The 27,314-nt window shown below is 44.1% G+C and overlaps 1 protein-coding gene and 2 pseudogenes across 37 annotated transcripts in view; 1 reads left to right on the plus strand and 2 right to left on the minus strand.

Moving 5' to 3' along the window:
- SLC11A2 (solute carrier family 11 member 2) overlaps window positions 1-27,314 on the minus strand; it is a 76,624-nt gene that overhangs the window by 38,223 nt on the left and 11,087 nt on the right. For 24 of the 37 annotated variants that reach the window (XR_001748720.2, XR_007063077.1, XR_007063078.1 and 21 more), the window contains 14 exons: window positions 20,210-20,281; window positions 17,991-18,139; window positions 14,826-14,951; window positions 14,303-14,422; window positions 9,828-9,934; window positions 8,860-8,930; window positions 8,689-8,756; window positions 6,332-6,487; window positions 5,144-5,302; window positions 4,059-4,145; window positions 2,325-2,444; window positions 1,705-1,854; window positions 1,114-1,187; window positions 310-463 (listed from right to left, as the gene is read on the minus strand). Coding sequence is in view for 21 of the 37 variants with exons in the window: in XM_047428887.1 (XP_047284843.1) it covers window positions 310-463; window positions 1,114-1,187; window positions 1,705-1,854; window positions 2,325-2,444; window positions 4,059-4,145; window positions 5,144-5,302; window positions 6,332-6,487; window positions 8,689-8,756; window positions 8,860-8,930; window positions 9,828-9,934; window positions 14,303-14,422; window positions 14,826-14,951; window positions 17,991-18,139; window positions 20,210-20,281 (1,613 nt within the window). In the remaining 16 variants the exon portion in view is untranslated. Of the gene's footprint in view, window positions 1-309; window positions 464-1,113; window positions 1,188-1,704; window positions 1,855-2,324; window positions 2,445-4,058; window positions 4,146-5,143; window positions 5,303-6,331; window positions 6,488-8,688; window positions 8,757-8,859; window positions 8,931-9,827; window positions 9,935-14,302; window positions 14,423-14,825; window positions 15,193-17,990; window positions 18,140-18,631; window positions 18,731-20,209; window positions 20,282-27,314 lie in introns of those variants that run through there. The other 13 variants (NR_183177.1, NR_183178.1, NR_183175.1 and 10 more) reach the window with 6 other exon arrangements.
- RNU7-39P (RNA, U7 small nuclear 39 pseudogene) lies at window positions 20,514-20,572 on the plus strand (annotated as a pseudogene).
- Window positions 23,649-23,756, minus strand: RNU6-87P (RNA, U6 small nuclear 87, pseudogene; annotated as a pseudogene).

Genomic DNA, 27,314 nt, shown 5'->3' on the forward strand with positions numbered 1-27,314 from the left:
TATTATTTTGTAAACAGCTGATTTGACAATTCCATATACATTGTCTCGATCACCTGGAGGTAGATTGTTATGTGCTCTTTTGGGTCTGTTCATTTCTCTTTTTTTGTAGAGATGGAGTCTTACTATGTTGCCCAGATTGGTCTCTAACTCCTGGATTCAAGCAATCCTCCCGCCTCAGCCTCCCAAAGTACTGGGATTATAGGCATGAGCCACTGTGCCCAGCCTGGGTCTGTTCATTTCTGAATGTCAGTGAACCCCACCTCAACCATCCCTGATACCTATGCCCCTGCTCTTCCAGGCTAGACTTACCAAGTAGAACACAAAGCCCAGATAAGCCACGCTGACCACAGCAGCCACCACATATAATGCCACATGCCCTAGGTCCCGGACATAAACCACTACAAAGTACATATTGATGGAACAGATGATAAGGACCAAGATTCCTCCTGCAATCCGCCAGCCTCTGTAAAAGAAATCAGCACAGTCACTGATGGAATAATCCAACTTGGCCACAGACAGAAAAGGAAACAGGATGGGAATTAGAGGCAGTTCAAAATGAATGGAAAAATTGTTCTTAATTTGAAAAAAAATGATTCTTCATAAGTCTAAGTTAAATCACCCAAAGTTAGATACTGGTAGACAGGGAGAAAGAGGGGGGAAAAGACACCAACAAATAATCCCTAATATTTAAGTCCCTAGAGATGCAACAAGGCCTAGAAACGCAATGAGCCATTTTATTAACGTTCCCAAAAATGCAACAAGTCACTTCAGATACCTCATATCCTTTAAAGATATATATAAAAGGTACTAACTTATGCCTTTTTTGTTAAGATCATTTAACAAAGAATTAAGGTGCCTCAAACTTCAGTGGCTGAAGCTGAAGAGTTATGCTGTAAAAGCTGAACTTTCTCTCCCCTTCATATGAAAGACGTGCTTTCTCTTCCTTTACTATATTCACAGTTTCCATTCTCTAAGCCAAAGAGGAAGCAGCTAGCAATCACCTCTCAAAGCATATCGCTTCCCTCTGTGTCTCACGTCTGACTGGCCTACTGCATGAAGATACCCTTTCCCCATATCAGCATCCCCTTTGGGAACGAAGAGGAGTACACTCACAGTCCATTGGCAAAGTCACTCATTACTGGCCGCAAGCTCGTAAATGTGAGGATGGGTATGAGAGCAAAGGGAAGCTGGAAAAGAAAGAAGATCAGATGGGATTACTATGGGTCCTTGTATCACCCTAGAGAACAGCACAATTAATGAAAGGGAAACATAAATGCTGCCTCAACTACTCCATGAGAAATAATTATTCCTATCATCCCAACATGCTTGGGCATTATGCTGAATTCTGCAGAGCTGTCATTAACCTAGCATACAAACCTTTGTATGTGACTTGTCTTCTTAACCTCCACAGGACCTAGCACAGTGTCCTATATGTTCATTTAATGTTTGCTTGCATTAATGAACTACAATTTTGTGTCCCATATGTAAGTAAAGTTCATAGTTCCCATTCAACAGGTTTAAAAAACCAACCATTTCTAAAATCCTTTTAGATGCCAAGGATTTCATATACATTTACTGCAGACCACAACCATGCCTCTGTCTTCCTCTCAATATCCCCCCAGCACTCAGCTAGGCTTGGTACCCAAGGGCAGTACATAATGCTACCTGAATAACTAGGATGTGTTTCCTCAGCTTCCTCCTCACCTGTAAGCTCTGTAGAACATTCAGAAAGTCATTCATCCCTGTTAGATGCTCTACATCTTGGAAGACAGCAACAAGCAGAGTGGGGATGATGGCAATAGAGCGAGTCAGAACCACTCGGGCAAAGCGTGACCACTTTAGGTTCAGGAATCCCTGGAAGAAAACATAGGAGCAGATGACTGTCTGCAACAGGAAACAAAAAAAAGTTTTGGGGAGGTTCAGGAGAGACCTCAGAAGAATGGGATTAAGAAGTGACAAAAGGGGCCAGGCGCAGTGGCTCACGCCTGTAATCCCAGCACTTTGAGAGGCCAAGGCGGGTAGATCACTTGAGGTCAGGAGTTCAAGACCTGCCTGGCCAACATGGTGAAACGCCATCTCTACTAAAAATACAAAAAATTAGCCGAGTATGGTGGCCAGAGCCTGTAATCCTAGCTACTCGGGAGGCTGAGTCAGGAGAATCACTTGAACCCGGGAGGTGGAGGTTGCAGTGAGCCGAGATCATGCCATTACACTCCAACTTGGGCGACGAGTGAGACTCCATCTCAAAAAAAAAAAAAAAAGAAGAAGAAGAAGAAGTAACAAAAGGGTTGTGTTATCTCCCTCTATCCTATACCAGCACGTACCTCCATGACAAACTGGCCAGAATAGGTTCCTGTCATGGTGGAGCTCTGTCCTGCAGCCAGGATCCCCACTGCCCAAATGTAGAGTGCAGCAGGCCCAAAGTAACATCCCAGCACAACACCCTGTGAGAGGCCAAGAGGAAGGATATGATTGTGGCAATAATCTGCTCAGACAATATCCAAAACAGCAGTTCCCTGTGGCATTTCTCCCTTCTTTGCTATGCACCACCAACACCAAGTGCTGTGCTGCGCACTGTGCCAGAAGCTAGGCTCAAGTCTGGACCTCATTCCAGAAGCTTTCAGTCTAAACTTTACTGGATGCTCCTTCGTTTCTCTGCCTAGTCCTTTCTCTTCTCCAAGCTCCTAAACCTCCATCTTAAATATTAAAAAAAAAAAAAAAAAAAAAGAGGTCTACACCACTTTCCCCAAATTATATTCCTTTACACACTATTCTGGAAAATGGCAATAGAAGTACAGGGAAATATCAAATAAATTGGTGAAATGCTACACACTATATATTCTACTGTTGGAGGATCACAATGTAACCAGCATAAAAGAACTGAGAGACTCCAGTAAAAACACTTTACTAAGAACACTTTCTTGGGGCTGGGTAGGGTGGCTCACGCTTGTAATCCCAGCACTTTGGGAGGCCAGGGTTGGAGAATCCCTTGAGCCCAGGAGTTTGAGACAAGCCTAGGCAACATGGCAAATACCCTGACTCTACAAAAAAAATACAAGGCCAGGCATGGTGGCTCACACCTGTAATCCCAGCACTTTGGGAGGCCGAGGGGGGGGTGGATCACCTGAGGTCAGGAGTTCGAGACCAGCCTGACCAACATGGAGAGACCCCCATCTCTACTAAAAATACAAAATTAGCCAGGTGTGGTGGTACACACCTGTAATCCTATCTACTTGGGAGGCTGAGGCAGGAGAAGCACTTGAACCCGGAAGGCAGAGATTGCAGTGAGCCAAGATCACGCCAGTGCACTCCAGCCTGGGCAACAAGAACAAAACTCCATCTCAAAAAGAAAAAAAAAATAGCCAAGCATGGTGGTGCTTGCCTGCAGTCCCATTACCCAAAAGACTGAGATGGGAAAATCACTTGGACCAGGTAGGTGGAGGCTGCAGTGAGCCATGATCGAGCCACTGTACCCCAGCCTGGGCAACAGAGCAAGACCTTGTCTCCAAAAAAAAAAAAAAAAAAAAAAAAAGCTGGGGTGTATACTGCATCTTTTTTTTCCTTTTTTTTTTAAAGACAGAGTCTTATTCTGTCGCCCAGGCTGGAGTGCAGTGGCCCAATCTCGGCTCACTGCAACCTCTGCCTTCCAGGTTCAAGCGATTCTCGTGTCTCAGCCTCCTGAGTAGCTGAGATTACAGGTGCCCACCACCACATCCAGCTAATTTTTGTATTTTTGTTTTTAGTAGAGACAGGGTTTCACCATGTTGGTCAGGCTGGTCTTGAACTCCTGAGCTCAAGTGATCCACCCGCCTCAGCCTCCCAAAGTGCTGGGATTACAGGCGTGAACCACCGCACCCGGCCTGTATTATATATCTTTTCAACTGATCCTCTATTCCTTCCCATTTAATCCAAAATGCTTGTCTGGTGTCTGGAACTCTGAAATAAATGACACTCCAGAGGAGATATGCTCATATCTGAAGTGAAGTCACAAAAAAGACCACATACTATGCTAAAAATACTGATTCAGGAACAAAGATCACAAATCCAAACATGCTTACCCCTTTGTAGATGTCCACAGCCAGTGTCGAGTTATCTTTAGGAAAGAGGCCAGCATGAGGACTGCTGGTATTTGTACAGACTTCAACCTAGAACCCAAAGCAATTCAACAGCAACTTTTGTTTCAGAAGCAAGGACCAAATAAGAGCTCTCCTACATATCATACACAATCATCTATAAGAGGTAGGCTGGAGGGAAAACACTGGACATATGCTGTGATGTGGGCAGAGACTAGCAGCAATGTTATCTAGGATCTTCCTCTATAATCCTTCTACACCCACAGGTCATCAAAAATCTTTACTGAGTTACAGTGTGCATGGTAATAATGTACAAACGCTGGGGTACTTTAAATGATGACAAGAGGAGAGGCTCTGAAGAAGGCTTCAGACATGAGAGAACACCCAGAATAGAATCCTCAGTCAAAGCAGACAGAGGAGTCAGAGGTTCCATAGACGGGAAACAAATGGTGATCAAAACTACACAGGCAGGCCAGGCACAGGAGCTCACGCCTGTAATCCCTGTACTTTGAGAGGCCGAGGCAGGTGGATCACTTGAGGTCAGGAGTTTGAGACCAGCCTGGCCAACATGGTGAAACCCCATCTCTACTAAAATTACAAAAAATTAGCTGGGTGTGGTGGCAGGCACCTGTAATCCCAGCTACTCAGGAGGCTGAGGCAGGAGAATCGCTTGAACCCAGGAGGTGGAGGCAGTGAGCCAAGACTGTGCCACTGCACTCCAGCTTGGATGACAGTGCAAGACTCCGTCTCAAAAAAAACACTACATAGGTAATCAGAAATCAAGATTGATACAGAATTCAAAATGACAAGACAAAGTCTGTCATCATCACAGTTTCTGTTTTCTGTTTGTTGACTACTCCCAAACAAAAGCTGAGAAAGAGGGTCCAGGCTTGGTCAGCCCCATACTGTAGACTCTGACTGGTGCACAGTGATTTTGGGGGGCAGACGAGAAGCTAGAGATTATTTCTCCTGAACATTAACACTAGGATGAGGTATTTTCCTTCCCCATCCCATTGCAGTCTTCACTTTACCCTCACATTCACTACCACCCATAACCCTGGCTTACTCACCACCTGCTCGTTGGTTTTCCCAAAAAATGCTTCAGCAAAGACTGAGACAACAAAGACATTGATGATGAAGGAAACAAAGAGTGCAATGCAGGATTCAATGAAAAAGTACTTATTGGCTTCTCGAACTTCCTGCTTATTGTTCCGGTTTACCTGTCTAGACTAGAAAGATAACAACAGCAGTCACTTTTTGACCAGTTAGAACAAGTTTCCTTGTGACATTTCAGGAGTTTGGAGTCAGCTGAGAGATTTAGGGGACAAAAGTTGACCAGACGAAAAGTGAGAGATCCAACACTCACCTACATCCTAGTTCACTGAGCAATTAAGAACTTCATATGGGGGGAGAAAAAAGAACTTCATGCCCTTTCGTTGAACTGTACATTCCCCAAATAGGGAACAGAGACTAAATGACTACTGAGCTCTCAGTTACTCTCAGTGGCTGGAAGGACCACTGACCTATAAAAACGACCTGATTTCAGTCCTAAGGTGTGCATATACCTATTTATAAAGGTTTCTAAAATCTCCCAGCAAACTATTACATAATACTGACAGTAAAAGCCTGTTTGGGCTCCTTTACTCCTGACCTCCATAAGGCCACTCGAGCTTTTGAAATTTAAACACAAGAGACTTGATGCACTTCCAACCTTTTATGAAGAACTTTAGTCCCAGCTGGGTGCAGTAGCTCACGCCTGTAATCCCAGCACTTTGGGAGGCCAAGGCGGGTGGATTGCTTGAGCTCAGGAGTTCGAGACCAGCCTGGCCAACATGGTGAAACCACATCTCTACTAAAAATAGAAAAATTAGCCAGGCATGGTGGTGCACGCCTATAATCCCAGGTACTCAAGAGGCTGAGGCACGAGAATCACTTGAACCCGGGAGGGAGAGGTTTGCAGTGAGTAGAGATCACGCCACTGCACTCCAGCCTGGGCAATAGAGTGAGACTCCATCTCAATTTAAAAAAAAAAAAAAAAAGAACTTTAGCCCCACCTGCTTTATGCAGTTAGTAATCTCTGGTCAATTTGGTGATAAAAACAGCATCTAAGTATATGGAGTTTATAAATGTCCAGGCTTGGAAAATACCTTGCTCCTTCATGGTCCTAATAATTGTAAACTAACTTTGTGTCCCTTGCAATTGAAGGAAAAGATCCCATGAACTGTCTAGGAGGTGAAGGAGATAAGGGCCTTGCTCACCTTGACTAAGGCAGAATGCAGGTACATGTTGTGTGGCATGATGACAGCTCCCACGATGCCCACAGCCTGTTCAATCTGTGGAGTGCGACAGCCTGAACAGGATGGTACGAACATGCCCTTGAGTACCTGGCTCTGGCTGGGTTTCACTGTAACATACTACATACCAACATAACAATGATTAGCCTTTACAGGAACGTGAAACGGGAGTAACATAGTACCAGGGAACAGTTAGCATCCTTTATCCCTTACAATGCCTTCTTCCTTATTTTTATATTTTTTGAGATAGGATCTTGCTCTGTCACCCAGGCTGGAATGCAGTGGCATGATCACAGCTCACTGAAACCTCAATCTCCCAAGAACAAGCAATCTTCCCACCTCAGCCACCCAAAGTGCTGGGATTACAGGCCACCACACCTGGCCAAAATCTTTTCTTCTGCAACTACCTAAGATAATGAGGAATACAGAATCATCATAGGACCAAGCAACATAAGGGGCTTACTATTAGGGGCCAGAGAATTCAAGACTGAGTATCCGGATAGTTTACAACACATCTTAGATATATGAAACAGATGTGTATGATACATAATTAATTTCTAAAGAAAGGGCTGGGTGCGGTGGCTCACGCCTATAATCCCAGCACTTTAGGAGACCAAGGCAGGCGCATTGCTTGAGCCCAGGAGTTCAAGAGCAGCCTGACAACACAACAAAACCTTATCTCTACAAAAATTACCTCGGTGTGGTGGTGCATACCTATAGTACTAGCTACTAGGGAGGCTGAGGTGGAAGGATCACTTGAGCCCAGGAGGTGAGCTGAGATCGTGCCACTGAACTCCAGCATAGGCAATAGTGTGAGACTCTGTCTCAAAAAAAAAAAAAAAAAAAAAAAAAAGGCCAGGCATGGTGGCTCACGCCTGTAATCCTAGCACTTTAGCAGGTCAAGGCGGGTGGATCACCTGAGGTCAGGAGTTCAAGACCAGCCTGGCAAACATAGTGAAACCCCGTCTCTACGAAAAATACAAAAATTAACCAGGCACGGTGGCGGGCACCCGTAATCCCAGCTACGTGGGAGGCTGAGGCAGGAGAATCGCTTGAACCTGGGGGTGGAAGTTGCAGTGAGCAGAGATCGCACCACTGCACTCCAGCCTGGGCGAAAGAGGGAGACTCCATCTCAAAAAAAAAAAAAGAAAAGAAAAAAGAAAAAGCTGCTAAGGGACTTGTGGTTATTAGTAATTCCACAAGGCTCAAAAATATACAACCAGGGCCAGGCACAGTGGCTCACAGCTGAAATCCTAGCACTTTGGGAGGCCAAGATGGGCAGATTACTTGAGGTCAGCAGTTCAAGACCAGCCTGGCCAACATAGAGAAACCCCATCTCTACTAAAAATACAAAAAGTTAGCCAGGCATGGTGGTACACGCCAATAATCCCAGCTACTTGGGAGGCTGAGGCACAAGAACCACTTGAACCTGGGAGGCGGAGGCTGCAAGTGAGCCAAGATCACACCCACTGCACTCTAGCCTACATGACAGAGCAACGCTCTGGCTCAAAAATAAATAAATAAATAAAAATCTAAAAATTAAAAAAGAATATAGAATCAATTTTTATTATCCATACTGAGCATACTTCTGTTCACCCATGTTCATTTAAAAATCATTTGCTGTTTGCCACTAGTACGTGTGTAATGAGAGACTCATCCTTAAACACTCTCATATATACTCTTCCCCGGTTCAGTATTTCTCTTGGAAGCCTTAGGCCAAGAGGCATAATCAACCCATAGATTACATATATTTTTTAAAGTTCAGCCAGACCAGTAAGCAGAAATCAGTTTATAAGAATTGTACAAAGAAAGGTGCTAGTACTGCAAATAATATTAGTGACTCTAAGGAGTTTCTGGGTTGGGGCACAAACCAGGAAATATCCAGTATATTTCATATAATTCATTAACTGTTTTAATATTGGGAAAGTTCAAGCTGCAATTAATATAAACCAGGATGAACAAAAGCAGAACTCCTGTAAGTTAACACCCAAGAATAACCCTGCAACCCCCTCCTTAATTAACACTATCCATGGCTGTTCTGTTGTCAGATGGTCAACTTGGGACCAAAGAATCTAGTCTGGAAAGCCCTAAAATATCTAGTCATTTTAAACCTGGGAGCCCCTGCAGGCCTTTCTGCATGCTAATCTTTGCTATAGATCATATTCCTTTAAAATTGGCCCAGGGAAAAATTGGCTTTTTGTTGATACACCCACTATAAGTGAATCATACTAGCATTATTACTGTCTTTTATAATAAAAGGCTAAAAAAAAAAACCACAAAAACTTATTTTAAGAAGCTAATGAATATCCTGTACCACTTGCCTCATATCCAAATGTGAGGGCCATAATAGTGATGAGAAAGCCAAAAAATGCTTCTAGCTTCCGCAAGCCTAAAGGAAAAAAGGCAGCAGTGAGCTCAGAGAAGGTAGACTTCCCCATCTGCCACATGACAGAGAGCAGCTCCTTTGACCCTCCCATTCCCGCTCTCCTTACCATATTTGTCCAAGAAGAGAAATACAAAAGTATCTGCAATGGTGATGAGAACGCCACCCCACAGAGGAATTCTAGGTCAGAGATGAGATATGGAAGTCAGAGAGACGGAAAGAAAGGAAACATTGAAAAACACTCTCTTCCCAACAGCTCTCCAGATAAAGAACACTTGGAGAAGCTAGGACTTGAGGGAGGAGGGACAATGGCAGAAAACTAGGCCTTGGGTAAAGTAGGGTAACAGCATCAACTTAATTACATTCATTTAAACTTTGAGAGTCTACTATGTCACTCTTAGGATACAAAGCTGAAAAGTTTGGGTCTTACCCTCATGGAGTTAGACAGATAGAATTTTATAGGATTAGATAGATAGTATCTAGTGGGGGCTGGGTGTAGTGGCTCACGCCTGTAATACCAGCACTTTGGGAGGCTGAGGCGGGCATTCCTAGACCTGAGGTCAGGAGTTAGAGACCAGCCTGGCCAACATGGTGAAATCCCGTCTCTACTAAAAACACAAAAATTAGCTGGACATGGTGGCAGGTGCCTGTAATCCCAGCTACTCAGGAGACTGAGGCACAAGAATTGCTTGAACCTGGGAGGCGGAGGTTGCAGTGAGCCAAGATCATACCACTGCACTCCAGCCTGGGTGACGGAGAAAGACTCTGTCTCAAAAAAATAAATAAATAAAATAAAATAAAAAGATAGTATCTAGCGGGATAAAATGACATACAAATCAATAATTGCGATACAAAACGCCACACATTCTAATAAAGGTAAGCATAACCCACCATGGGAAACGGAAGATGTAGAGTCTACATCTACCAGGGGAGAAGAAATTGTTTCCAGAAAGGTTCCACAGAAGAAATAACAATTGAGTTGAGTCTTCAAAATTAAAAATGAATTGGGTTTTTGTTTTTATCTCTGCTTGGAAATCCAGCAAAACACTGATGACTTTCTAGAGGAAAACCCCTCACCTTCCTACAGACAGAAGATTGATAGCAATGGCTGAGCCAATGACTTCTTGCATGTCTGAGCCGATGATAGCCAACTCCACCATCAGCCACAGGATGACTCGTGGGACCTAAACATCAAACAGTAGAAAGACACGGTTCTGATTAATCATTTCTAAAAAATTCCTCCACAATTTGGAATTCACATTTTGGCACTAAACCATAAACAGTCCTTTATAAGCCTCCAGACTAGAGAAGAAATACCAGAACGTGCCTCCACTTGGCCGATCACTGCACTGTGGCTCTCACCTGGAGAAGGAAAAGTGTGCTACCACGTGGCAGAACCTGTGAACGAAGGTCAAGGCAGTAATTGATCTTACTTTTTTCTTTTTCCTTTCTACTTGAGAAGAATATAATTGCCATTTACTAACTTCCACTTAATTTCCTAAAAACAATCCTAAAAAGTTTAGAGGAGAATAAGGATGCTAATACGGTCCAAATATGGGTCAAGAAAGAATATTAAATGATTGCAGAAGAACATATCTATCCTGACCATAGCTGGGAAGACAAAACAAACATGAAAAGGTTGGGGTCAGGCTGGGCGCGGTGGCTCACACCTGTAATCCCAGCACTTTGGGAGGCTGAGGCAGGTGGATCACCTGAGGACAGGGTTCAAGATCAGCCTGGCCAACATGGCGAAACCCCGTCTCTACTAAAAATACAAAAATTAGCTGGGCATGGTGGCACATGCCTGTAATCCCAGCTACTCAGGGGGCTGAGGCAGGAGAATTGCTTGAACCCGGGAGGCGAAGGTTGCAGTGAGCTGAGATTGCGCCACTGCACTCCAGCCTGGACAACAAAGCGAGACTCCATCTCAAAAAAAAAAAAAAAAGGTTGGGGTGGACCAGGCACAGTGGCTCATTCCTGTAATCTCAGCACTTTGGGATGCCAACGTAGATCCCTTAAGCCCAGGAGTTTGAGACCAGCCTGGGCAACATGGCAAAACCCCATCTCTACAAAAAGTATAAAAATTGGGAGCAAAATGATAAGAACTTATGAACACACAGACAGAAACAACAGACACTGGGGTCTACTTGATGGGGGAGGGTGGAAGGAGAGAGAGAAGCAGAAAAGTTAACTATTGTGTATTGGGCTTAATATCGGGGTGATGTAATAATATGTACAACAAACCCCCATGACACGTGTTTATCTATGTAACAAACCTTCACATGTGACTGCTCTGCCTACGGAATAGCCTTTCTTTATTCCTTTACGTTCTTAATAAACTTGCTTTCACAAAAAAAAAAAAAAAAAGAAAGAAAGAAAGAAAAAACCTTCACATGTATCCATCTCCAAACCTAAAATAAAAATTATAGGAAAAAAAAAAAGTACAAAAGTATCCAGGCATGATGGCATACACCTGTAGTCCCAACTACTTGGGAGGCTGAGGCAGGAGGACAGCCTAAGCCCCAGTGGTCAAGGCTGCAGTGAGCTATGATCATGCCACTGCACTCCAGAGTGGGCAACAAACAAGAGCAAGACTGTCTCAACAAACCACCACCACAACAACAGAAAAGGTTGGAGTCACCTTTAATGTAATAATAATGCCCACGTATGCAAAAGGACTCAAGGGAAGATGGTTGGAACTGGGTGGCATATAACAAAGTCAGAAACTTATCTGGCCAAACAATACAGCTGAAAATCAGATTTAGTTATGCTGACTCACTGAAGCCAGAAAAAAACACCTCCAGATAGCTAGCATCCAAAAAATTTGTCAGGTCACCCATGGTAGTTCACACCTATAATCCCTGAACTTTGGGAGGCAGAGGTGGGAGGATTACTTGAGCCCAGGAGTTCAAGCCCAGCCTTGGCAACATGGCAAAACCCTGTCTCTACAAAAAATTTTAAAAATAGCTGGGTATCATGGTGCACACCTGTGGTCCCAACTATTCAAGAGACAGAGGTAGGAAGGCTGCTTGCGCCTGGGAGGTCAAGGGTATAGTGAGCCATGATTGTGCCACTGAACTCTAGTCTGGGTAATAGAGCAAGATCCTATCTCAAAAAAACAGGCCAGGCACAGTATCTCACATCTGTAATCCCAGCACTTTGAGAGGCTAAGGCAAGTGGATCACTTGAGGTCTGGAGTTTGAGATCAGCCTGGCCAACATGGTGAAACCCTGTCTCTACTAAAAATACAAAAATTAGCTGGGTGTGGTGGTGCGCACCTGTAATCCCAGCTACTCGGGAAGCTGAGACAGGAGAATCGCTTGAACCTGGGAGGTTGAGGTTATAGTAAGCCAAGATCACACCACTGTACCCGAGCCTGGGTGACAAAGCGAGACTTGGTCTCAAAAAAAAAAAAAAAGGGCAGAGCCAGGCGCAGTAGCTCACGCCTGTAATCCCAGCACTTTGGGAGGCCAAGGCGGGCAGATCACGAGGTCAGGAGTTTGAGACCAGTCTGGCCAACATAGTGAAACCTCATCTCTACTAAAAATACAAAAATTGGCCAGGCGTGGTGATGCACGCCTGTAGTCCCAGCTACTCAGGAGGCTGAGGCAGGAGAATAGCTTGAACCCAAGAGGCGGAGGTTGTGGTGAGCTGAGATCACGCCACTGTACTCCAGGCTGGGCAACAGAGTGAGACTCCATCTCAAAAATACCAAAACAAGGCCAGGCGCAGTGGCTCACGTCTGTAATCCCAGCACTTTGGAAGGCCGAGGTGGGCAGATCACAAGGTCAGGAGTTCGAGACCAGCCTGGCCAACATGGTGAAACCCCGTCTCTACTAAAAATACAAAAATTAGCCAGGCATGGTGGCAGGCACCTGTAATCCCAGCTACTCGGGAGGCTGAGGCAGGAGAATCACTTGAAACTGAAGGCGGAGGTTGCAGTGAGCTGAGATCACGCCACTGCACTCCAGCCTGGGTGAAAGAGTGAAACTCCGTCTCAAACAAACAAACAAAAAAGCAGGCTGGGCACGGTGGCTCATGCCTGTAATCCCAGCACTTTGGGAGGCGAAGGCTGGCAGATCACCTAAGGCCAGGAGTTCAAGACCAGCCTGACCAACATGGTAAAACCTCATCTCTACTAAAAATACAAAAATTAGCCAGATGGTGGCACGTGGCTGTAATCCAAGCTAGTCAGGAGGCTGAGGCAGGAGAATCCCTGGAATCGCCTCACTGCAAGAAGCAGAGGCTGTAGTGAGCTGAGATCACACCACTGAACTCTGAACTCCAGCCTGGGCAACAGAGTGAGATTCTGTCTCAAAAAAAAAAACAAAACAAACAAACAAACAAATATATATATATATAATTATTATTACAAAATAACTATTAACGTGTATGAAGAAAGAGAAGCTAGGCTTGGTGCAGTGGCTCATGCCTGTCGTCCCAGCACTTTGAGAAGCTGTGGTGGGAGGACTGCCTGAGCCCAGGAGTTTGAGACCAGCCTAGACAACATAGCAATACCTCATCTCCACAAAAAAAAAAAAAAAAAAAATTTTAATTAGCTGGGTGTGGTCGTGCTCGCCTGTGGTCCCAGCTACTTGGGAGGCTGAGATGGGAGAATCGCTTGAGCCTGGGAGGTCAAGGCTGCAGTGAGCCATGATCACATCACTGCACTCCACCATGGGTGACAGAGTGAGACTCCGTCTCAAAAAATAAGAAGAAAGAAAGAAAAAGAAGCTAGAAGGATTATAAATTACCAAGGTTTTGTTTGTTTTTTAAAAATTTTATGGGTACATAGTAGGTGTATATATTATGGGGCATATGGGATATTTTGATATAGGCATAAAATGTGTAATAATCACATCAGAGTAAATGGGGATATTATCAAGATTTTTTTATTTTTTTGAAAAGCAGATAAGGATACTTTTTGCTCACACCCAGGAAAAGAAACAAAACAAGAGACAAAACTAAGTTAAAAATATCTTCCAGACATAGTGTTCATTCTTGCCTTAGGCAACGGTAAGAAAGGCCCAAAATGTCCAGAAGAAGCTGCAGAGGACAGTGTAGCCCCCGGTGGGAGGGGAAACTGAAAAATAATTATTAGCAAATCCAAAGATCTTGCCACATATAGTTTGTACTAAAAAGAAAAAAAATTACTTTTTCAAAGTGATGGCAAAGTCAAACAAAAAAAGAACATATATAAAATGCAAACTGATGGAGTAACATGGAGGTATGAATAAAAGTGCTTAGAGAGAGCATCCTCCTCCCCTTGGGCTGGGCATTGCTAGATACTGGAAGCCAGAGTGAATGGTAACACAGTTTTTCTAAGAAAACCTTCTAGGAAATGCGAGTCTCAAGTTAGATTTTGAAAGAGGGGGAAAACATGGCCTGGCAGCAGGAGGAGCTACAGTATTTCCGTTGGTACCGTCTGTCTTCAGGGCCACTGACCCCCAAGTCCTTGACTGTCTCACTATAGAATGAGGCCAGCACATACCGCCAGACACACAGATTCCTATGGCATGGGTGAGAGACAAACAGGACAATACATTGCTCACCTTGGGATACTGACGGTGACATACTTCAGCAAGATGCAGCCCAGTAACCACTCCCAGTCTAGCTGCAAGCCGCTGGAGCAGCAGCCCCACAAGGGTGGCCAACAGAAGGATCCAGAGCAACTAAGAAGAACAAAATCTCCTGTAACACTCATTGAACAACTGAGTTTTTGTCTGTTTGTTTGTTTAGTTGTTTGGCAACATGAGTGGTAAATACTGCATTCAGAAAAGAGCCCAGGTCAAGAATCAAATGACTTGAGTTCTATAACAGATTTTGCACATGACCTGCTAAGTCACCTTGTACCTTTCTGAGCCTCAGTTTCTCCTATATGTAGTTTCTCCTTTGTTCAAGGAAACTATGTGGATAAAAATAAGACCAAATGGAAAGTACTTTACACATAAGAGCCACTGCCAATGAAGTATCTGCATGTAGCCCCTGAGGCTACTATCCAACATGCAGGGTGGAGAAAAGGATGTGAGAGTGTATTATGTGCTTAAAAGGACAGGGGTAGGACTAGATGTTCACCTTAAATCCAGCCACTGCTCCAGACTGCAAATCGGATTCAATATTTCCTGGATCCAGGTAGGCAATGCTCATAAGAAAACCTGGTCCGGTGAAAGCCCAGAGTTTACGAAAGCTAAAACAAGAGTACTGTACAAGAGAGGAAAAGAGATTAAACTGAACATCACCATTGAACTACTGATATAATTGGTCTGTTATCACATATGAAGCAACAAAATCCAGCCTCACAAGAAAAAAGGATTTACAATGTCAGATATTGCATGTGTCCAAGTTTCACCTCCATCTTACCCACTTTTTATTAAGAAGCTGGCCACTTCTCTGTCCAAGTCAAAGCTCTTCCCTTACCTGCAGGTTCCATCAGCCTCTTATTCTAAAACCAGAATAACAGTATCAGTACCTCTGTGCCCAAACACTTCCCAAAAAGGACAAGAGCCACCATTTTAAAAAGGAAACAAGCCAGGTGTGGTGCTGTGTGGTGTGTGCCTATAGTCCAACTACTTGGGACACTGAGGAGAGCAAACAAAAATAAAATTCTAAGCTCCCCCAACCAACTGAACGGATCCTCTTCTTGACCAAGGGCATTCCAAAGAAAACCTGAAAAACTAGTTCAGGCCATGATGGGAGGGAGGGGTCAGACAAACCTCATTATACTCCCGTCCCTTTGGAATTCAGACACAAATGACCAGCATTAAAACAGAGATCTTGGCCAGGCACAGTGGTTCCTGCATGTAATCCCAGCACTTTGGGAGGCCAAGGCGGGCAGATCACCTGAGGTTGGGAGTTCGAGACCAGTCTGACCAACACTTTAGTAGAGAAACCCTGTCTCTACTAAAAATACAAAAACAGGTGGGCGTAACGGCACATGCCTGTAATCCCAGCTACTCGGGAGGCTGAGGCAGGAGAATCACTTGAATGCGGGAGGAGGAGGTTGCGGTGAGCCAGGATTGCACCATTGCACTCTAGCCTGGGCGACAAGAGTGAAACTCCGTCTCAAAAACAAACAAACAAACAAACAAACAAAAACCAGAGATCTTAAAACTGACAAAACAGATTCCTTGTAGCAATAACATGCTAAATTCCAACCTGACTCTAGCATAGCATCACATGACAGATAACAGGCCCTGAAAGAAATCAAAGTATTTTACTCCAAGATATATTTCTTTGTATATTTTGAAATGACCCTGCAAAGCTGTCTCTTATGAGCAAAACCTAGAATATATAGAATCTCCTTCCCTTTTCAGGTCTTTTCCTGATCCCGGAGAGAATTAACTAGGAGTCCGGTACCTTTTTAAGTCTGATAAAAGACATTTACATCTATTTTCTCTGAAGCTTGTTACCTAGAGGCTTCACCTACATAATAAAAACCTTGGTCTTCACAACCCCTCATTTTAGACACTCCACAGCCCCTCATTTTAGACCAGGTCTTTAGAAAATAACTCTTTCAACCAATTTCTTTTTTTATTTATTTTTATTTTTGTAGAGACAGGGTTTTGCCATGTTGCCCAGGCTGGTCTTGAACTCCTGGGCTTAAGCAATCCTCCCACTTCAGCCTCCAAAGTAGCTGGGACCACAGGTGTGCACCACCACACCCAACTAATTTTATTTTATTTTTTTTACTTGGAGACAAGGTCTTGTCACATTGCCCAAGCTGGTTGGTCTCGAACTCCTGGGCTCAAGCGATCCACCCGCCTCAGCCTCCCAAAGTGCTGGGATTACATGCATGAGCCACTGCACCCAGTGTCAATCAATTTCCAATCAGAAAATCTTTAAATCCACCTTTGACCTGAAAGGTGCCCCCTCCCCACTTCAAGTTGTCCCACCTTTCCTGATGGAACCAATGTACATCTTAAATATATTGGCTGATGTCTGCCTGTAACTTCTGACCCCTAAAACGTATAAAATCAAGCTGTAACCCAACCACCTTGGGCACATGTTCTCGGGACTTCCTGGGGCTGTGTCACGGGCCTTGGTCACTCATATTTGGCTCAGAATAAACCTCTTTAAACATTTTACAGAGTTTGACTCTTGTTTGTTTGTTTGGTTTTGAGACAGAGTCTCACTCTGTCACTCAGGCCGGAGTGCAGTGGCGCGATCTTGGCTCACTGCAGCCTCTGCCTCCTAGGTTCAAGTGATTCTCCTGCCTCAGTCTCCCGAGTAGCTGGGATTACAGGCACCCACCACTACGCCCAGCTAACTTTTGTATCTTTAGTAAAGACAGGGTTTCACCATGTTAACCAAGCTGGTCTTGAACTCCTAACCTCAGGTGATCTGCCCATCTCGGCCTCCCAAAGTGCTGGGATTACAGGTGTGAGCCACCGCGCCTGGCCTGTTTTGTTTTGGTTTTCGTTTTTGAGAGGAGGTCTCATTCTGTTACCCAGAGTGGAGTACCATAGCATGATCTTGGCTCACTGCAACTTCTGCCTCCTAGGCTCAAGTGATCCTTCCACCTCAGCCTCCCGAGTAGCTGGGACTACAGGTGCATACCACCATGCCCAGCTAATTTTTGTATTTTTTGTAGAGACAGGGTTTCGCCATATTGGCCAGGCGGGTCTTAAACTCCTGGGCTCAAGTGATCCTCCTGCCTTAGCCTCCCAAAGTGCTGGGATTACAGGTGTGAGCCTGGGCTCAGCCAGAGTTTGACTCTTTTTCATCAACAAACAAGAGGAAGGATAGCTTGAGGCCAGGAGTTCAAGACCAGCCTGGGCAACATAGTGAGACCCTGTCTCTAAAAATAAAAATAAAAATAATGAGCCTGGCATGGTGGCATGCCATCTATAGTCCCAGCTACTGGGGAGGCTGAAGTGGGAGAATCACTTGACCCCAGGAATTCAAGGCTACAGTGGGCTATGGTTGTGCCACTGCACTGGAGCCTAGATGACAGAGCAAGACCCTGTCTGTAAAAAAGATTAGATAGACAGATAGATAGATAGATAGATAGATAGATAGATAGATAGACGGACAGACAGACAGACAGAGATAGATAGATATAGATGGGGTGTGTGTGTGTGTGTGTGTGTGTATATATATATATAGATATATAGATATAGTCTTCAGAGATTGCCAGCCAAAATTAAACCTGAGGCTGCTGAACTTGAGCCATCCAGCAGATCTTTCACTCACAGGTTTTCCCCAGACAATAGTGTTCTCCTCCAAGGACCTGATACTAACCTCCTCCTCAGGAATGGAGATCTTCTCATTAAAGTAAGTGGCGAAGTACTCCTCTGAGTCCCCAGGGGACTGTGAAAGAGAGGGATTACTATAGGCAGGGTTGATGTTACCAAGACTGGCAGACTCCCCATGATCTCCAGAAACACTGTCTGAATTAACAGATTTGAAAATAAATTAGTAAAAAATGAACAAAATACACTAACAATTCATCCTTAGTATACTGAAATTAAATAGTTTAATATCTAAATGCACAAGAGACCAACCTGACTCTAGCTCAATTTATTTTGAATAGTTTATTTTTAATGTACATTTTAGAATAAGTAATACATTCACATGGTTAAAAATTCAGGAAGTAAAAAATTTAGCCTACACTAAAAAAGTTATCTCCCTCCCCCTCCCCCAGTCACTCAATTCTCTAGATCAGTTTTAACTCACAATGGTTTTCCTACTTCCACACTTCTACTCCTACTTGGGAATTTTTAGAGCCATTTCATTTTCCTCTAAAAACACTGACATATGGGCTCAAAATATCATATTCCCAGACCAGCTCCTGGTAACCTAAAATCCTAGCTTTTAAAAGAAAAGAACTAGGCCTGTCTAGCGAAATGTCCTCCCCACCTCCTATATTTGGTAGGACTTACTCAAATAATCGACCGTGGACATTATACCTCCATCAGACTTCTCAAAAAATGTGCAAGTTACAAAATCCTGCCACAGTTCAGGCTAAACTCTGAAGCTGCAGCAAAACCACCAAGCAGGAACCCTTTGTACTCTGACTAAGGCTTGCAGTAAAGTGCCGCCGGTCACGGGGTACTGGCACCCTCGTGATGGCAGGGCTCATCTCAGACTGATATCAGCGTTTCCCTGAGTTCTGCATTTTGCAGTCAATCTTAAATATTGGGAAGCAGAAGGTCTGGGAGAAAAGGGATACCCTGCCAGAAATACACAGAGCCTAGTTTGCTTCAGCCATCAAATGGCTATTTTGAATCACAAAGCTCTAATCTCTGTGTTTGCAATAAATCCTTACAACCTCTAATTTAAACAAATAAGAGCTTTCTTTCCATAGGGAGCTGACTCATATCATCTTAATTAAGCAGCTTTAAATTAATGAAGAAATTTATAGAAAAGGAACAGAAATTCCAAAGAAGCTCAGATTTAGGAAGGAATAGTCAAAGCACTCAAGAAGCTCCAATCAAATACAGAGCGTAAGGTACTCGCCCTGTATTTTACTGCTCCATACACATCTGAAACACCAGGAAGCATCATGAGTAGCCAAAACACTCCAGAGGTTTTTATCCTGGGTCTGGGAATAACATTGCCCTTGCAAGCATTACTGCCAGAAACCAAATTTCAGCTAATCTTGGCTCAACTCAGAATTGTAAAAAAGATACGAAGCAGGTCTCTGGTTAAAAATCTGTTTTCAGGGCCGGGCACAGTGGCTCATGCCTGTAATCCCAGCATTTTGGGAGGCCGAGACGGGTGGACCACCTGAGGTCAGGAGTTCAAGACCACCCTGACCAACATAGCAAAACCCCATCTCTACTAAAAATACAAAAACATTAGCCGGGCGTGGCGGCAGGTGCCTGTAATCCCAGGTGCTCGTGATGCTGAGGCAGGAGAATCCATTGAACCGGGGAGGCGGAGGTTGCAGTGAGCCGACACAGTGCCACTGAACACTAACTAGCCTGGGCAACTAGAGCAAAACTCCGCCTCAAAAAAAAAACCAAACAAACAAACAAAAAAAAAACATTCTGTTTTCAGGATGGGCGCGGTAGCTCATGCTTGTAATCCCAGCACTTTGGGAGGCTGAGACGGGCGGATCACTTGAGGTCAGGCATTTGCGAACAGCCTGGCCAACATGGCGAAACCCTGTCTCTACTAAAAATACAAAAATTAGCCGGGCATTGTGGCGTGTGCCTTTAGTCACAGCTACTCGGGAGGCTGAAGCAGGAGCATCACTTGAACCCATGAGGCGGAGGTTGCAGTGAGCCGAGATTGTGCCACTGCACTCCAACCTGGGTGACAGAGACTCCACCTCAAAAAAAAAAAAAAAATCCATTTTCATTTACAGCCTAAGTCACCAGATGGTGACTTTTGAATGGAGTTGTTAGAATAGATGATGACAGATGATGACAAGAGGAAAAATATGATAAATTTCTGTTACCAACATAAACCTAATTACAAATAAAATTAGACAATAACACAAAGCGGTAAATTACCATCTGACATCTTCTGTTCAGGACCCAGCACCATGGTGGATACCTGAGTGGCTGAGTTCTTAGAATATGATTCTGGAAAGGAGAAAAGTGAGGGAGAAGAATTAGGAAGAACAAACTAACAAGTTCAGAACCAGCAGTTTGTTACTCTGTATGACTGAATCCTTACTATGAAAAGAGTAATTTTTCTACTGAATTAGGTAACCTTGAAAATAATTACAGTTTTCAGAATATGACTGACAGATATTTAACAAAAAAAGAAAAGTCTTAGTCAAGATTTTGCTGGCAAGACTTCAAAACCAAATTGAAGTGTTACAGCTCTTTTAGAATGTGTCTAGCAGGCTTTCTGGCTTTCACTGTGAAACCCTTCACGGATGGCAGGGGGTGGTGGACAAATTGAACAGGAGGTATTTTAGTGAGACAGCAAATACCATTTTTTTTTTTTTTGAGTCTTTGAGTCGGAGTCTTGCTCTGTCGCCCAGGCTGGAGTGCAGTGGTGCAATCTCAGCTCACTGCAACCTCTGCCTCCTGGGTTCAAGTGATTCTCCTGCCTCAGCCTCCCGAGTAGCTGGGATTACAGGTGCCCGCCACCACGCCCAGCCAATTTTTTGTATTTTTAGTAGAGACAGGGTTTCACCGTGTTAGCCAGGATGGTCTCGATCTGCTGACCTCGTGATCCGCCCGCCTCAGCCTCCCATAGTGCTGGGATTATAGGCATGAGCCAACGCACCTGGCCAGGCAAATACTTTTTTAATAAGCATCTACACAGAGGCTGCTAGGCAAGTATCCATTCTCTGCCTTTGCCTCCAAATTATCCCAAGTGTCTAAAGCCAGACACATTTCCCCCTATTTTATGAGTTGTTTTTTTTTGTTTTTTTTTTAGTTTTTTTAGACGGAGTCTCACTCTGTTGTCCAGGCTGGAGTGCAGTGGCACGATCTCAGCTCGCTGCAACCTCTGCCTCCTGGGTTCAAGCGATTCCCCTGCCTCAGCCTCCAGAATAGCTGAGATTACAGGCGTGTGCCACCATGCCTGGCTAATTTTTGTATTTTTAGTAGAGACACGGTTTGACCATGTTGGCCACGCTGGTCTCAAAGTCCTGACCTCATGATCCGCCCACCCCACTTCCCAAAGTGCTGGGATTACAGGCATGAGCCACCACGCCCAGCCTATTTTATGAGTTTTTAAGGACAGAAATCTGTAATTCTCTTTGGTCTAAAATATGTAATTTAAGCTCATGGTTCAATCTTCTAGAAAGGGTAGGAAAAAGCACCATACAAGCATACTGGTAGTGGAAGGCCACTATTTGGCAGCCTCAAATCTTCCTAAGAAAGTAAAGTCTGCAGCCATAATGTTCTAGACCTCATTCCTCAACCCTCTGACAACTAGAAGAAACTAGTCACCCGTGGCCCAGCCCCTCCCAAGCTCTCCAAGAGAGCTGAAGCACCAGCAGGATTAAGCATAGCGTGTGGGATGCCAGCCTTTGTCTACAGGTCCTGTACTAAGCAACCCGCAGTGGGGCGGGTGGAGTCAGGGGTGGGGTGGAAGTTCCAGATGTCCATCATCCTGTTAAGTTTAATTGGGAGGGAGGATTTTAGCAAGCTCACTTGGGAACAGATCTATGGCATATTCTCCATTGAGCCTTACCAATAAGGCTATTAAAAAAAAAATGTTTCAATCTTCTTATCTACTTCTCAGTTGATTTCAAATTTAGAAGGGGAAGGACAACATAGTATTCATTGATAAGCCCCTCTTTGAATCCCAATAATAACTGTCCTACTGAAGAAGTGATGAAGCCTCGCTTAATGATCTTTTACTGCTTAAATCTAGTCTTTTTTCCACCCTTGTCCCTTATATGTTGTTCCTACATGAACAATCTTCTACTTGCTGTTTCAGGTTTTGGGTAATCTTTCTATCTACCAACATATTCTGTACTTATAGAATTACAGAATTCAGACCAGAAAGGAGCTTTTCTTTTCTTTTTAGGTTTCATCTGTCTTCTGGGGCATATATACCACCACCTGCTAATTTGGAAAACATAATCCTTCCTCTCTAGAGTCACCAATGCCAAGTATTATATTACAACGGACAACTAGCCATGTGTCTCCTGTCAGGTTTTAAGCCACCAGATGACTAAACATCAGCCAACAGCCCCCAATAATACTGACTAAATTCAACCCCTCTTTCAGTCAATGACAATAGCACCTCACCTAAATGGGATTTAAATATTTGACCACTCAGAGTAGCAGTACTCACTTGGATTCCAATCACAGCACAGCCCCGACGTTCCCGGCAAAGCCTTTTTACTTTTGTTTTACATATAATTGTAACAAACTAATGTTATCAGATTGTCTTAACCCACAATAAATTGGAAACCACAAATCAGATCTGGAACTATGCATAGCTCTTCCAGGAAAAGAGGAACTTGGCACACTGAGGAATCAAAAAACTCAAGTACATCAATTAGTCTTGGGCTATTTGATATGAGGCAAACAGTCCTTCCTTATGCGTCAATCAGTTCTGAGAATATTACTGCAAGTATAATAACTCAAGTTTCCAATTGTGGCCCTGATCAAAATGAGCTGAATGAATTAAATTGCTTTTTTTTTTTTTTTTTTGAGACAGAGTTTCACTCTTGTCACCTAGGCTGGAGTGCAATGGCATGATCTCAGCTCGCTACAACCTCTGCTTCCTAGGTTCAAGTGATTCTCCTGCCTCAGCCTCCGAAGTAGCTAGGATTACAGGCGCCCACCACCGAGCCCGGCTAATTTTTGTATTTTTTTTTTTCAGTACAGACAGGGTTTCATCATGTTGGCCAGGCTGTAAATCACTTTTGTAATGATGATTAATATCATTAAGGCACTGGAAAATCAGCTGGGCACTGTTTAAGGCACTGGAAAATCACCTGGGCGTGGTAGTGCATGTCTGTGGTGCCAGCTACTTGGGAGACTGAACTAGGAGAACTGCTTGAGCCCTGGGGTCAAGGCTGCGGTGAGCCATGATCGCACCACTGCACTCCAGCCTGGGTGACACAGCGAGGCCTTGTCTAAAAAAGAAGAAAAAGAAGACACAGAAATGTCTCGTCTACATCTGAGGAAGATTTTTATCCAGAATAGGCAAAACAGGCCTTAAAAGTTTTTATTTTTTTTTGAGATGGAGTCTCACTCCGTCACTCAGGCTGGAGTGTAGTGGTGCGATCTTGGCTCACTGCAACCTCCGCCTCCCGGGTTCAAGCGATTCTCCTACCTCAGCCTCCCGAGTAGCTGGGATTACAGGCACGTGCCACCACACCCAGCTAATTTTTCTATTTTTAGTAGAGATGGGGTTTTGCCATGTTGGCCAGGCTGGTCTGAAACTCCTGACCTCAGGTGATCCACCCACCACGGCCTCCCAAAGTGCTGGGATTACAGGCATGAGCCACTGCCCCTGGACAAAAATTTTTCTTTTAATATGGAACACTTCACAAATTTGCGTGTCATCCTTGTGCAGAGAGGCCATGCTAATCTTCTCTTGATTGTTCCAATTTAGTATACGTGCTGCCGAAGCAAGCACCAAAATAGGCTTTTAAGTTATATTTTAAAAGCAAACAATTAAGGTAATAGCGTGATCTTCCCAGGACTGTAGTCTGCAAATATTTTTAGACAGAAATATTTCATGATAAAATTTTAAATAATTATTAGTGATATTCTAAGTTCATTCCTATACCAAGTACATACAGAGCCGTTCAAATACAAAAAGTTTCGTCTTCTATCTGAAATCTCAAGAATGAATTATTTCAAGAAAGAAAACAAATTCTAGATTCCAGTCTCCAGCCTTTTCAACAAAGCTTTTAGTCAACAAACTACATGTTTCATTACAGTGCCTACAGAATAAAACTTGGGGCCGGAGGCGGTGGCTCACGTCTCTAATCCCACCACTTTGGGAGGCTGAAGTGGGCGGATCACCTGAGGTCAGAAATTCAATACCAGCCTGGCCAACATGGGTGAAACCCCGTCTCTACTAAAAATACAAACATTAGCCAGGCGTGGTGGTAGGTGCCTGTAATTCCAACTACTAGGGTGGCAGAAGCAGGAGAATCGTTTGAACCCAGGAGGTAGAGGTTGCAGTGAGCCGAGATCATGCCACTGAACTCCAGCCTGGGCGACAGAGTAAAACTCTGTCTCAAAATAAAATAAAATAAAATAAAAGAGGTCAGGCGTGGTGGCTCACGCCTGTAATCTCATCACTTCGGGAGGCTGAGGCAGGCAGATCACCTGAGGTCAGGAGTTCGAGACCAGCCTGGCCAACATGGTGAAACCCCATCTCTACTAAAAATACAAAAGTTAGCCAGCGTGGTGGCGCATGCCTGTAATCCCAGCTACTCGGAACGCTAAAGCGGGAGAATCGCTTGAACCCGGGAGGTGGAGGTTGCGGTGAGCCAATATTGCACCACTGCACTCCAGCCTGGGCAACAGAGCAAGACTCCGTCTCATTAAAAAAAAAAAAATTAATAAAACTAGGGAGGGGCCGGGCGCAGTGGCTCACACCTGTAATCCCAGCACTTTGGGAGGCTGAGGCAGGCGGATCACCTGAGGTCGGGAGTTCAAGACAAGCCTGACCAACATGGAGAAACCCTGCCTCTACTAAAAATACAAAATTAGCCAGGCATCATGGTGCATGCCTGTAATCCCAGCTACTCAGGAGGCTGAGGCGGGAGAATCGCTTAAACCTGGGAGGTGGAGGTTGCAGTGAGCTGAGATTGCGCCACTGCACTCCAGCCTGGGCAACAGAGCAAGACTCCATCTTATAAAAAATAAATAATTAAATAGTTAAAAAAAAAAAAAACTAGGGAGGAATAGAAAGGGCCAGGCCAGTTATGCACAGCATTCAAGTCTCCATGAAAATTTATGACCCATATGGAAGCAGTAAGTTAATATTAAGACAGTTTTGCTCTCCAGGGCTGTAGCACCAGGTTGTTTCAGTTACTTCGTCACATTAAGGAAAAGATCCAGAGTTAGGACACAAACAACTAGAATCAACCCAGCAATACTTTGATAAGTAACCATCACAATTATGATTAACATTGCTTTGATATTCCAGCTTACCCCTAACCATAAAGTGTCACCTTCTCTTAAACCCATTAAGTTTCTTCCTATCGAACAGCAATTGACAGAAAAAAAATGGCACTCATGGTTAAATGTAATATGACTATTTTATCCCATTCTCCTGCCTCAGCCTCCCTAGTAGCTGGGATTACAGGCGCATGCCACCATGCCCGGCTAATTTTTGTATTTTTAGTAAAGACGGGGTTTCACCGTGTTGGCCAGGATGGTCTCGATCTCCTGACCTTGTGATCTGCCCACCTCAGCCTCCCAAAGTGCTGGGATTACAGGCGTGAGCCACCATGCCCAGCCTATTTTATCCCATTCTCTAACAAAAGTTGTAAGACTGGCTGGCTGTAGTGGCTCATGCCTGTAATCCTAACACTTCGGGAGGCCAAGGCAGGCAGATTGCTTAAGCCCAGGAGTTCAAGACCAGCCTGGGCAACATAGAGAAACCCCATCTCTACAAAATATACAAAAATTAGCTAGGTGGAGGCCGGACACGGTGGCTCACACCTGTAATCCCAGCACTTTCGGAGGCTGAGGCAGGTAGATCACCTGAGGTCAGGAGTTCGAGACCAGCCTGGCCAATATGGTGAAACCCCATCTCTACTAATAATACAAAAATTAAAGCTAGGTGCAGTGGCTCACGCCTGTAATCCCAGCACTTTGGGAGGCTGAGGCGGGCAGATCGTGAGGTCGAGAGCTTGAGACCAGCCTGGCCAACATGGTGAGACCCCATCTTTACTTAAGATACAAAAAATTAGCCAGTGTAGTGGCGCATGCCTGTAATCCCAGCTACTCAGGAGGCTGAGGCAGGAGATTCACTGGAACCTGAGAGGCAGAGGTTGCAGTGGGTTGAGATCGCACCATTGCACTCCAGCCTGGGTGGCAGGGGGAGACTCCATCTCAAAAAAAAAAAAAAAGTTAGCCGGGTGTGGTGGTGAACACCTGTAATCCCAGCTACTGGGGAGGCTGAGGCAGGAGAATTGCTTGAACCTGGGAGGCGGAGGTTGCAATAAGCCGAGATCGCGCCACTGCACTCCAGCCTGGGTGACAAGAGCAAAACTCTGTCTCAAAAAAAAAAAAAAAAAAAAAAAATTAGTTGGGTGTGGTGGTGGGCGTCTGTAGTCCCGGGAGGCTAAGGTGGGAGGATCACCTGAGTCTGGGAGGTCAAGGCTGCAGTGAGTGTTGATCAGGCCACTGCATTCCAGCCTGGGTGACAAAGCAAGACCCTGTCTCAAAAAAAAAGTGTTGTAAGACTGTTTTACAAGATAAAAATGCTAACAAAATTTTATTTTCTGTCTAAAATTTCAAAAGTCTACATATTCTTTGATCTAGCAATTTTACTCCTAAAAATGTATTCTTTAAAAAAAAAAAGCAAAAAGTACTCATCAAGGAAATATGTACAAGGATATTTCCCACAGCATTGTTTGTAGTATGAAAAGACTGTAAACAACCTTGATATTAGTAGAGGACTGGTTGAATAAACTGTGCACATTCATTGGACAGAATACCATGCAACCACTATAAATAAGACGATCTATCATGTATAGATAGGATACAATCTCTAAAATATTACATGTTGTCAAGTCAAAAGACCAATTTGTTGAGCAGCATGCTATCATGTATGTAGCAAAAAGAAAAAAGAGAAAACACACACGTACACGTACAATCTCCAAAGGACACACCAAAAACTGGTAATAAAGGCCATCCCTGAGAGAAGGAAGGAGTAGGAGAGCCCAAATGAGGTCATGTGAAGGGAAAACCTCTCACTGAATATACACTGTATACCTTTTGCACATAAAAAGAAGTTTTACCAGATACATGTATTATTTGCCTTATAAAAAATGTCAAGGTCATATAGATTCACTCAGCTTCTCAACAAACATTTTAGGGATGTTCAGTTGAACTCTCTGATAAAGCTTCTGCAATAGATAATCAGAAGTCTACAGCTGTCTAATTGGCAGGTATTTATTGCCTTCAGCCTAACTTACTACTAGTTTGTCTTAGTGCCACCTAAATGCAA

This window comes from Homo sapiens, chromosome 12 (assembly GCF_000001405.40).
Source record: "Homo sapiens chromosome 12, GRCh38.p14 Primary Assembly".
Lineage (NCBI taxonomy): Eukaryota > Metazoa > Chordata > Mammalia > Primates > Hominidae > Homo > Homo sapiens.